This window comes from Homo sapiens, chromosome 10 (genome assembly GCF_000001405.40).
Source record: "Homo sapiens chromosome 10, GRCh38.p14 Primary Assembly".
Taxonomy (NCBI): Eukaryota; Metazoa; Chordata; class Mammalia; order Primates; family Hominidae; genus Homo; species Homo sapiens.
The window spans coordinates 132,206,276-132,218,721 of NC_000010.11; the positions used below are offsets into that span (position 1 = coordinate 132,206,276).

Sequence of the window (12,446 nt, forward strand, 5' to 3'; positions counted from 1 at the left end):
TTTGTTGAGCAGAGAGCCAGGGACACCTTGTGCCACCGGTTCTCTGGCCCCTGCCCATGCACCGATGGTGACAGAGAATTTCCTGCCGTGGTCTCTGGGAACCACAGACAGGCCCATCTCTCACCCTGGGCTGCTTATAAAGCTGTGCAGATCCCAGGCGAAGGCCCTGGGCCCTCAGCATTTCCTTCCCGGGGCTCCCTCTGGCCCAGATGTGGGAGCTGATGTCCCCCACACCAGCATCTCCCACTCTGCCCCAGTGTGGGGGGCGATCAAGGGAACCAGACAGCACCCACACCTCACCAGTGTCTCGAAGGAGGACAAGGTGCACCACCCTGCCATGTTCCCCAAATGCACTTATTCAAACCCCCACACCTGTCCTTGCCCCGAGCCTGTCTCTGACATCGCCAGACTTCCACCGAGTACACGGCGCCTCTGGGCCCTCGCAGAGACCGGGCCACCCTTCCTGGTGGTGATTTGGGTGCCGTGTCCCCCATGTGAGCTGCTGAGGGCTGGAAGGCTAGTTTCTGCCATGATTCAGAGGACAGGGGTGGGTGGGGGACGGGAAGCTGCATTCTATCCCCTCGGACTTCTGACTCTGCTCGTGGCATGGCCGGTTCTTCCCCAAATGTTCTTTGGCCGTTGTCATCTCCATCTCGCAGCCCAGCCAAGGACGGGAGGGCCCTGTTTGCCAGGGGTGCAGTGGGGCTCATGGACACAGGTCTAGGCACATGTCCACTATGGCCGCTGTCCTGGGAAGGGGCACAGACCCGCCACACCCATTTCCTCAGAGGAAACCAGCACAGGCCTGTCTGGAGCGCTGGGCTGATGGGCTGAGCCCGTCCTCCTCCAGCGAGACCAGAGAGAAGCACACAGGCCGTTTACCCAGTTAGTTACAGTTCCAACCACAGAACCACCCAGCCACAGTGAGAGGGATACGTCCCTTTATGGAGGGCCAAGCACTGCCCGGCACTGCGGTGGCTCCACGGTGCACGGTGCTGTCCTGGGCTCCTCTGCCTCCAGGACCGTCTCTGCCTTCCACAGCCTTACGGCTCCAGGGCCACGGAGACAGGCACCCACCCCAAAGCCATGGTCCGGGAGCTCTGCCCTGAGGAGCTGCCCACCCCACTGGCTGCCCCAAGTCCAGGCCAACCAGAAACGGCAGGCACCGGCCTGACGGCCAGGCAGACACAGGACGTACGCAGAACATGCAACATCGAGCGGTTCTCACATTGTAATTCTCAGAGGTGAAAACTACAGAAATTGCTGGAGCAGTTTGAATCTCTAGAAAACATTCACCTCCCCACCCACTACCCCAACCCATGCCCTTGACCTCCAAGACCTGAGCCGAGCCTGGGGCACCCGCGGCCTGTGCTGCAAGGGTCACCTTGTGACGAGGGCCGTGCACAGCCTCCGGGCTGAGCAGGGACAAAGACTCCTGTCCCATCCATGGCCCCAGCTCCCCGTGAGCGGTAAGAGGGCGCCCAGCAGCGCTTCCTCCATCTAGGCGGGTCTCGGGGGCCCACGGGAAATGCCCTCCACAGGTGTCCCCTGCACCCACAGCCTCTTGTCCCCTGCACCACCACGAGCCTGAGGTGTGAAATGTGTCCGGGGCACTGTGGGCACCGCCAGCCAGGCTGGGTGGGAACGTGAATGCCAGGCCTCGGCCCATGGCCCTCCCTCTGGCAGCCGAGTCTCCAAAGCAGCTCAAGGGGTGAGGACCACGGGCGTCCCGGCCTAGCCGCTCCCGGCCGAGGGGCAAATGGGGCCGCACATGGGCAGGGCGGAGCGTTCCGCCTCGTCCTCCACAGGCTCCGCAGCATCCCTGGACTCAGGGGCGGGGAGAGGCTCCCTCGGGAGGTCCTGGCTCCTCTTCAGCCTGGGGTGGCAGGAACACATGGAGGGCGTTATGCCCCCACCTCCCTGGCCTCACGGTCCCATGACCTGCCCACGGGCTCATGGGGTAGGCCATGGCGTGGATGCCCAAACGTGGGCCACAGGCTCGGTGTCTGCTGGAGAGGCCATGCTCCCGATACACTGGCAGGGAGCCTGGGGACGGGTGGGGGCACGTGAGCATGCTGGCGAGGCTCGGCGTGTTTCCAGCCAGAAGCCGAAAGGCCTGACTGTGCAGGTGCCATAGGTCAGTGACTTGGGAATGAGGCTCGGCTAAGCCTCATTCTTCACCCGGTCATCTGATCCCCAGGGTGCCAGTCAGTGCCCTCAGCCGTCTGCACGTGCTGCCCTGCACGTCCTGTCCATAAGAGCTCAGACCCACCTCCTCCAGGAGGCCCTCCTTGCCCCGTGCGGGCAGAGGGAGCATCCATCCTCCCTTGGGCCCCACCGTGGCAGCTGCTGCTATTTCTGGCCTGCCTTGCCTGCTGCCAGTCATCTGTGCCCTTTCTGTCCCCTGGGGCCTGACATTCAGGAAAGGTCTGCTGAGAGACTGAGGGCGTGCCTGGGTGGGGGAGTTGACGTGGCTCTGATGGGGCCTCCTAGGAAGTCACCACCCCTCATCTGGGCAAATGATGTGTCTCTCCCCAGAAGATTCCAGCCACGGGCCCCGCGTGGAGCACAAACATGCCAGAGCCTGGCAGGGGCCTCCCGCCGCTCCCCTCCATAGCTGCTGCTCAGAGTCCCCAAAGAGAGCAGGGCCACGCACCCCAGGCCCACAGGTGCCCGCTCACGTGGCCAAGAAAACCTTAACCTTAGCCCCATTTTCCTCCTCTCTGCCACCACGCCCACCCACCCCCAACACACTCACTTTTCTCTGTTAAAAATCACGAAGTCTTGCTGGATGGCATCGAGGCAGTCTTGAAGATAGTCATTCTCCTGTGGATGGAAAGGCACACGTGAGCGTGGGGGACGCTGTCCAGGTTCCGCCCATGTCCCCTCAAGTGAGTGTCTGGGCATCCCCATCGGGCCTCCACCTGTGGCTTTGGATGACGGCCTCTGGGCTATTGAAGTGCCCCGGCCCTCCAGCAGCCAGACTGCCCGGGAGCTCGCATCTCTGCGGGTGACTCACCCAAGCCCGAGGATGCCAAGGCCCAGCTCCCTTGCCTCTGGGTGGATGGCTTGGACTTGCTCCGTGGGGCCTGCAGGACCAGGCAGAAGCTGTTCTCTGCGGGACTTTGCTGGAAACCACTCCCTTGCCGGGCCTTTCCCGTCTCATACCGGGTTCTCCCAGCCCCTCATCACAGCACACACACACCTGTCCCAGGCCTGCTTCTGGGGCCCTGCCCAGAGAATCCTGGAACCAGGGCTGTCTTAGAAGCAGGTCCTCAGGGCAAGCTTGTGGACGGAGGCTGCCCCTGGCAGGACCCACCCTTACTGGTGTGTGATGGGCAGGCAGGACTACTTCCTTCAGGCAGCAGGACCACTTCCCAGGACGCAGGGGTCGGGGGAGGGCGTGGGTGGGGTGGAGGGGGTGCTGGCCGCTCAGCGCTGGCATGGTGTGGGGAAAGCATCATTATGGTGACCGTGAACTTGGATGGTGACGTTGGTCACTACCAACGCGTGAGCAAATGACAGACCCAGATGAGCCAAGTCACAGTGAAAAGTGCAGGGAGTCGCAGGCCTCGGGTGGCATTAAAAGGGCCCCCACCTCCTGCAGCTGAGGCCAGAGGATGCCCACTTGTGAGGACCACAGAACCTCAGATCCATAGGAAGTCACCCACGTCACAGCCAAGGCCCTGGGAGGGAGGGAGCTGGGCTCTGAAGGTCGGAGGGGACGTGTGAGTGGGTACACACCAGAACGCTCAACCCTATCTAGACATACAAAACGTACAGCAAAACCCAGTGTTACCATCTTACGGGACCACCCCCCCATGCGATTGGCCAGTGACGGAAGCATCGTTATGCAATGCGTGACAACAGTCTGCGTTCACCCGAGACGGACAACAGCATGCTTTCACGGCCCCAGCCAGGGCTAAGGGGACTCTTCCCTGTCACAGTGTCGTCTGTGCCTCGAACACCTGGACACTCTTGCCTGCTATCCATGGATCCTATTTTTGGTCTCGCTCTGTCACCCAGACTAGAGTGCAGTGGCGTGATCTTGGCTCACTGCCAACTCCGCCTCCCAGGTTCAAGTGATTCTGCTGCCTCAGCCTCCCAAGTAGCTGGGATTACAGGTGCCCACCACCATACCCAGCTAATTTTTGTAGAGACGGGGTTTCACCATGTTGGCCACGCCAGTCTTGAACTCCTGACCTCAGGTGCTCCGCCTGCTTCGGCCTCCCAAAGTGCTGAGATTACAGGCGTGAGCCACCATGCCTGGCCCTGTGGATCCTATTAATGCTGATTGCCAAGTGGCAAGTACTCTGGACACCCTGTAAACCCACGAACAGAGTGTGGGAGATGCAGAAGGCTGTTCTCCGATGAACGGTTCAGGGATTTGCTGACGTGCGTCACACTCGGACGTGCCCGCCAAGATAAAGGACAAGCGGTCTCACCTTGCGCCTCTTCCCACGAGGAAGGAAGCATAGGGCTCAACACATTTCTTGGGTTTGGGGAGCAGCTCACGTTCCCCACCCCGAGGCAGTGCCCTCCGTGTCTCTCCTGGATCTGTGGTGGTGTGAGGGTTTCACCCTGGCAGCGGGAATGTGGACTCTCTCTTCCTAGCCCTGAGTGGGGACTGTCCCGCCCGCTCCTCCTGGTGGTGTCACCCTGGTCCTGGGCATTCCCCACACGTACACGGTGTGAGCGGCCAGCACCTTGCCAAGGACTCGAGAAGAAGCCGGCAGACTCCCACGCTCTCTGCGGGCAGCCCTCTCCTCTCCATGTGGCTCTCTCCCTCCAGGCTTTGCCCTGTCACTGTGGCCTCCCCTAAAGGAGTCACGATCCTGGCAGGGGACCTGTCCTTAGTCATCAAGAAGAGGACAGGCTGGGTGATCTGCTGTGTCTCAGCACTCTCTGGTCTAACCCTGATATAGACAGACAAGTCTGCAAACTCGGGCCGGCCTGAGAAGGTGACGGTGACCTAAGGCTCAGACTACTCAGGAATGAGGGTCCGACTGAGCCGCTGGGATCCTGCGATTCACAGCGACACAAGGTGGGAGGGGCTGGGGTGGGCGCCAGTGATGCAGAACATGAGCGCCCGTCGTGGCCCTGTGTGCAGCCCAGTGGCAGGGGCTGTTGGTCATCCTGCAACGTCCACAGCCATGTTTTCCTAGGCAGAGAGGCCACCAGAAGCCTGAGGAGCTGCTCCAGAACCATCTGGAAGGGGTGGCTCTGAGCAGCGCCCAAGCCGGGCTGTGTCACCTAGATGTGTGACCACGACCCCTTTCCACAGGGACTCCCTTCCCAAGGTGTGTGTAGCGCCGCCAGCAGTACCCCATGGCAGGGTCTGTGCCTGGCCTGGATCTGCCCTGCTCTTCCTCTGACAGCCCCTGCCTCCTCCTTGGGTGGCTGGAACCCTTTGCCAGCACACACACAGTCAGAAGGCCACAGAGGGGCCCTTCGCCCATGACTGACTGGTGTGGGTGTTTGAGAGCCCAGCTCCCTCAGGGCAGGGACCTCTTGAACCGCAAGTGACGCTCCAGGTCCCCTGAAGTCCGAAGCCACTCCCCACAGGATTTCCAGATTTCTGCTTGAAAGCCAAGCTCTGCTGGCATCTCCCATCCCGAGAAGGGCGGGGGTCTCTCCTGGATGCACTTTCTGAGTAACTGGACCAGGAATCCCCATCTCAGGGCACCTGTGGCACCTTCACACATGCTGAGACACAGCCTCGGACCCCAGATGTCACCCACAGCGAGGAGGGGCCTGGGAAATGGAGCAGGCTTCAGTCCCTAGCACCGCCACAAACCTGCTTGGCAGCTCAGATGCAACTGTCAGACCCCTCAGCATTCAGTGGAAATGCCAGGGACCCAGAACAGTCAAATAATGTCCAAAAAGAACAAAACTGGGGGATTCACAGATCCTGATTTGAAAGCTTGCTACAAAGCTACAGTTATCAAGATGGTGCAGTCCCGGCGCAGGGCAGACGTCTGGACCAATGGGATAAAACGGCAAGTCAAAAAACAAGGTATGATGTCAAAAGCAATTCAATGGGGAAAGAATCCTCTCTTCAGCAAATGGTGCTAGGACAGTCAGATATCCACCGATGAGAGAATGAAGCTGGACCCTCACCTGACATTGTTCATAAAAATTAACCCAAAATGAATCACACAGCTAAACGCAAGAGCTGAAACTATACAAGACTTAGAAGAAAGTGTGGGAGTAAATCCCTGTGGCCTCAGCTGAGGTGATGGATCCTTAGACAAAGCAGAGCAGCCAAGGAGGAAACAGCCACATCGGACAACGTCAAGGTCCAAGACTTCCCTGCTGCAAATGATGCCCTCAAGAAAGAGAAAAGATAGCCCATGGAACAGGAGGAAATACCTGCCAATCTCCTGTCTGACCACACACCTGCGTTCAGGAAATAAAAGACATGACTCCGACGAAGAAACACAGAGACGAGCAAGGACTTCTGGCTTCTGCTCTGCGGTAAACAACGTGGAAGGCCTCACTCCCATCCCTGCGACAGGAAAAATGCTGAACTAATGAAAATCAATGACTTTTCCTGGACCTATCAGAGAGCTGAGGTCAAAGCGCTGCGGCGACCCCCAAGTCTGGAGAGACAGGTGAGCAAAGTCACAGCTGAGACCTGCTGGCCTGGAGCAGAACTGATGGTGTGTGGGAACACCTCCTGGGCAGCTCTGGGGAGCGGCCGGGGCCGTGTGCAGAACTCCTGCGGCTGCGGTCTTATGAGGCCCCCAACGTTTTGTGGGTTTCCCCTCCAGGAACCCTGCCAGGTCTTAATGAAGCCAAGGATGATCCCTTCCTGGCTCTGGCATGGGATGGGGACAGTCACCACTGTGAAATACACCCAGAGCATTCTCCACAGCAAATGGAATTTGCTCTCCAAAGGAAAGGCTTATCTCACTTGGGGGAGGACTGTTTTTCAGCCTGTACCCCGCTTTAGCCTGTCTCACCTAAGGGGAGGGGAAAAGCAGATCAACAACTGTGAAGGGGCACAGGCCCCCAAGACTGAGATTTGGTCACAGACTGTGGAACAGTTCCCTCCCCACCATCTTCCCAACACACCCACAGGGCCTCCGCAGTGTGACAGGGATTCCAGCAGAGAGGGCCACAAGACGCAGACTCTCTCTGAGGAGGAGGATTTAGGCAAGCCCAAGGGCAACCCGGGAAATGAAAACAAATGTGAAGCCTCTGGTGCCCACAGCTACAGCAGACTTTAAACCCTGCCCCAAACCTGGCCAGATTACATAAACCTCACACTAAAGGCCCATCTACTTCAGCTCTTATTACCAGATACATCACGTCCAGCTTTCAACAAACATTACAAGGCAGACTACAAGGTCTTAAGGAAAAAAATAGAGTGTGAAGAGACAATGCACACATTAGAACAGATCCAGATATGGCACCCATGTTGGAATTATCAAACAGGAAATTTGAAATAACTGTGATTAATATGGCAAGGGCTCCAGGGGAAAAGCAGGCAAGAACAGATGGGGAACAGAAGGGCAATGTAAGTAGAGAGATGGAAACTCCAAGGAGGGATCAAAAGGAAATGCTGGAAGTAGAAAACACTGTAACAGAAATGAGGATGCCTTTGATGGTTCCTCAGTAGACTGGATCCAGATGAGGAAGGATCTATGAGCTTGAAGAAATGTCAACAGAAACTTCTCGAACTGAAATGCAAAGAGAAAAAAAAAAGAGTGAAAAAAATGAACAGAATATCCAAGAGCTGTGGGACAATTTCAAACGGCACCACACACGCATAATTGGATTTCCAGCAGGAGAAGAGAAAGAGAACAGAATATTTGAAATAATAATGACTGGGAATTTTCTGAAATTAATGACAGACACCAAACCACAGGATCTAAGAAGCTCAGAGAACACCAAGCAGAATGAATATTAAAAAAAAATCTGTACCTAGGCATATCATTATTCAAATTGCAGAAAACCAAAGACAGAGAAAATCTTGAAATGAGCTGGGGGTGGGGGGTGGCGAGGAATTCTACTTACAGAAAAAGAATTAGAGCAGACTGCCTGTTAGAAATCACATAAGCAAGAAGAGAGCGGAGTGAAATATTTAAAGTGTTGAAAGTAAAAAACCTACCAATCTAGAATTCTATATCCAGTGAAATTATTATTTAAAGGTGAAAGTAAAGACTTTTTTGGACAAACAAAAAGGGAAGGAATTCATCTCTGTTGGACCTGTCCTATAAGACATGTTAAACGAAGTTCCTCAGGGGAAAGGAAAATGATTTAGGTCAGCAACTTGGGTCTGCATAAAGAAAGGAAGCACTTTAGAGGAGGAATGAATAGAGGTAAAATGAAATTTTTAATTTTTCTTAATTGATCCAAAAGATAACTGTTTAAAATAACAGTAGTAACAATGTAATGAGCAATTATAGCATACAGATAAATGAAATGAATGACAGCAATGTCATCAGGAACAGGAGGATTGCACGAGAGGTGCCGTCACAAGGCATCCCACTGCACATGAGGGGGCAGAGTGTCAGGTGAAGGTAGACTGTATGGTAAAGGTATACTGCAATGTCCAGGCCAACCACTAAAAATATTTCAAAAAGAAGTATAATTAACAGGCCAGGAGAGGAGATAAACTAGAATAATATAAAATGCTTAATTAAAACCAGAAAAGGCAGAAAAATAGGGAAAAAGGAAGAACAATAAATAGACTACAGTTACAAATAAGGTAGATATCATATTGAACTATATAAATGACCACTTATTTATTTACAAGACAGCGTGTCTCTCTGTTACCCAGACTGGAGTGCAGGGGCATGATCATAGCTTACTGCAGCCTTGAACTCCTGGGCTCAAGCAATCCTACTGCCTCAGCCTCCTGCGTAGCTGGTATCACAGGTGTATCCCACCACACCCAGATAATTTTTTTTTGTAGAGACAGGGTCTCGCCATGTTGCCCAGCCTGGTCTCAAACTCCTGGACTCAAGCAATCCTCTCACGTCACTGGAACTACAGGCATGCACTGTTATGCCTGCCTAATTTTTTTGTCTTTTATAGAGCTGGTGATAAGGTTTGGCTGTCTCCCCACCCCAATCTCAGCTTGAATTGTGACTCCCACAATTCCCGTGTGTCATGGGAGGAACCCAGTGGGAGGTGATTGAATTATGGGGGCGGGTCTTTCCTGTGCTGTTGTCATGATAGTGAATGAGTCTCATGAGATCTGATGGTTTTAAAAACAAAAGTTTCCCTGCACAAGCTCTCTCTGCCATCCATGTAAGATGTGACTTGCTCCTCCTTGCCTTCCGCCATGATTGTGAGGCCTCCCCAGCCATGTGGAACTGTAAGTCCATTAAACCTTTTTCCTGTATAAATTTCCCAGTCTCGGATATGTCTTTATTAGCAGCGTGAGAACAGACTAATACAGTAAATTGGTACCAGTAAAGTAGGGCGCTGCTGAAATGATACCTGAAAATGTGGAAGCAACTTTTTAGAACTGGGTAATAGGCAGAGGCTGGAACCATCTGGAGGGCTCAGAAGAAGACAGGAAAATGTGGGAAAGTTTGGAACTTCCTAGAGACTTGTTGAATGGCTTTGACCAAAATGCTGATAATGATATGGACAATGAAGTCCAGGCTGAGCTGGTCTCAGATGGAGATGAGGAACTTGTTGGGAACTACAGCAAAGGTGGCTCTTGTTATGCTTTAAGCAAAGAGACTGGCAGCATTTTGCCCCTGCCCTAGAGATTTGTGGAACTCTGAATTTGAGAGATGATTTAGGGTATGTGGCAGAAGAAATTTCTAAGCAGCAAAGCATTCAAGAGGTGACTTGGGTGCTGTTAAAGGCATTCCATTTTAAAAAGGAAACAGCATAAAAGTTCAAAAAATTTGCAACCTGACAATGCAATAGAAAAGAAACTCCTGGCTGGGCACGGTGGCTCACGCCTGTAATCCTAGCACTTTGGGAGGTTAAGGCAGGCAGATCACCTGAGGTCAGGAGTTCAAGACCAGCCTGGCCAACATGGTGAAACCCTTCTCTACTAAAAATACAAAAATTAGCTGGGTGTGGTGGTGCGTGCCTGTAATCCCAGCTACTTGGGAGGCTGAGACAGGAGAATCACTTGAACTTAGGAAGCGGAGGTTGCAGTGGCAATGAGCCGCCATTGCACCACTGCACTCCAGCCTGGGTGACAGAGCAAGACTGTCTCAAAAAAAAAAAAAAAGAGAGAAAAAAAAGAAAACCCCATTTTCTGAGGAGAAATTTGCATAAGCAACAAGGAACTGAATATTAATCACCAAGACAATGGGGAAAATGTCTCCAGGGCATGCCACAGACCTTTGCGGCAGCCCCTACCATCACAGACTCAGAGGCCTAGGAGGAAAAAATGGTTTCATGGGCGAGGTCCAGGGTCCCTCTGCTGTGTGCAGTCTAGGGACTTGCTGCACTGCATCCCAGCTGCTCCAGCCATGACTGAAAGGGGCCAAGGTACAGCTCAGGCTGTGGCTTCAGAGGGTACAAGCCCCAAGCTGTGGCAGCTTCCATGTGGTGTTGAGCCCGCAGGTGCACAGAAGTCAAGAATTGAGGTTTGGGAGCCTCTGCCTGCATTTCAGAGGATGTATGGAAACACCTGGATGTCCAGGCAGAAGTTTGTTGCAGGGGTGGGGCCCTCATGGAGAACCTCTGCTAGGGCAATGCAGAAGGGAAATGTGGGGTTGGTGCCCCTATACAAAGTCCCCACTGGGGCACACTGCCTAGTGGAGCTCTGAGAAGAGGGCCACCATCCTCTACACCCCAGAATGGTATATCCACCAACAGCTTGCACCATGCACCTGGAAAAGCCACAGACACTCAATGCCAGCCCACGAAAGCAGCCGGGAGGAAGGCTGTACTCTGCAGAGCCACAAGGGCAGAGCTGCCTAAGACCATGGGAACCCAACTCTTGCATCAGCATGACCTGGATGTGAGAGATAGAGTCAAAGATGTTCATTTTGAAGCTTTAAGATTTGACAGGCCTGCTGGATTTCAGACTTGCATGGGGCCTGTAGCCCCTTTGTTTTGGCCAATTTCTCCCATTTGGAATGGCTGAATTTACCCAGTGCCTGTACCCCTATTGTATCTAGGAAGTCACTTGCTTTTGATTTTACAGACTCATAGGCAGAAGGGACTTACCTTGTCTCAGATGAGACATTGGACTGTGGACTTTTGAGTTAATGCCAAAATAAGACTATGGGGGACTGTTGGGAAGGCATGATTGGTTCTGAAATGTGAGGACATGAGATTTTGGAGGGGCTGGGGCAGAATGATATGGTTTGGCTCTGTCCCCATCCCAATCTCAGCTTGAATTGTGACTCCCACAATTCCCACATGTTGTGGGAGGAACCTGGTGGGAGGTGATTGAATTATGGGGGCGGGTCTTTCCTGTGCTGTTGTCATGATAGTGAATGAGTCTCATGAGATCCGATGGTTTTAAAAACAAAAGTTTCCCTGAACAAGCTCTCTCTTTGCCTGCCGCCATCCATGTAAGATGTGACTTTCTCCTCCTTGCCTTCCACGACTGTGAGGCCTCCCCAGCCATGTGGAACTGTAAATCCATTAAACCTTTTTCCTGTATAAATTACCCAGACTCAGGTATGCCTTTATTAGCAGTGTGAAAATAGACTAATACAGATGGGTCTCACCTTGTTGCCCAGGCTGGTCTCAAACTCCTGGACTCAAGCAGTCCTCTTGCCTCAGCCTCCCTGGTCGCTTTAAATGTGAATGGTCTAAAATACACCAATTAGGTCAGGCACAGTGGCTCACATCTGTAATCCCAGCATTTTGGGAGGCTGAGGTGGGAGGACTCCAAGAGTTTGAGACCAACCTGGACAACATAGTGAGACCCTGTCTCTACAACAAAATTTTTTTCAAATGAGCCAGGTGTGGTGGTGCACACCCACAGTTCCAGCCATTCTGGCAGCTGGGGCAGGGAGGATCACTTGAGCCCAGGAAGTCAAGGCTGAAGTGAGCCTTCATTGCACCACTGCACTCCAGTTTTGGTAATAAAGCAAGACCCTGTCTCTAAAAAAAAATAAAGTAAAATAAATATGCCAATTAAAATATATTGTCAGAGTAGACTAAAAAAAAGACAATAAAAATTTTAAAACATTTGGATAGACATTTCTCTAGACACAATGCCTGATAAAACACCTCAAAAGATGTTCAATATCATCAGAGAAATGCAAACCATAACCACACAATCACTGCACACTAAGATAACTATGATTTTTTAAAAAATAAACCAGACAATAACAGGACTTGGTAAATATATGGAGAAATTAGAACCCTCACACACTGCTGGTAGGGGCATAAAATGGCACACCTGCTGTAGAAAAGGGTAGGTGTTTCCTCCAAACATGAAGCACAGAGTCACATATGACCCAGCGGGTTCATGCCTAGGTATGTGCCCCCCAAAAATAAAAGTA

At 52.9% G+C, this 12,446-nt stretch overlaps 1 protein-coding gene across 14 annotated transcripts in view; it reads right to left on the reverse strand.

Moving 5' to 3' along the window:
* Positions 1-1,206: 1,206 nt before the first annotated feature.
* Positions 1,207-12,446, reverse strand: part of STK32C (serine/threonine kinase 32C) — a 124,754-nt gene continuing 113,514 nt past the window's right edge. For 9 of the 14 annotated variants that reach the window (XM_011539693.3, XM_011539688.2, XM_011539690.3 and 6 more), the window contains 2 exons: positions 2,759-2,826; positions 1,207-1,876 (listed from right to left, as the gene is read on the reverse strand). In XM_011539693.3, the coding sequence (XP_011537995.1) occupies positions 1,735-1,876; positions 2,759-2,826 (210 nt within the window). In that variant the 3' untranslated portion in view covers positions 1,207-1,734. Of the gene's footprint in view, positions 1,877-2,754; positions 2,827-3,019; positions 3,090-12,446 lie in introns of those variants that run through there. The other 5 variants (NM_001318878.2, NM_173575.4, NM_001318879.2 and 2 more) reach the window with 3 other exon arrangements.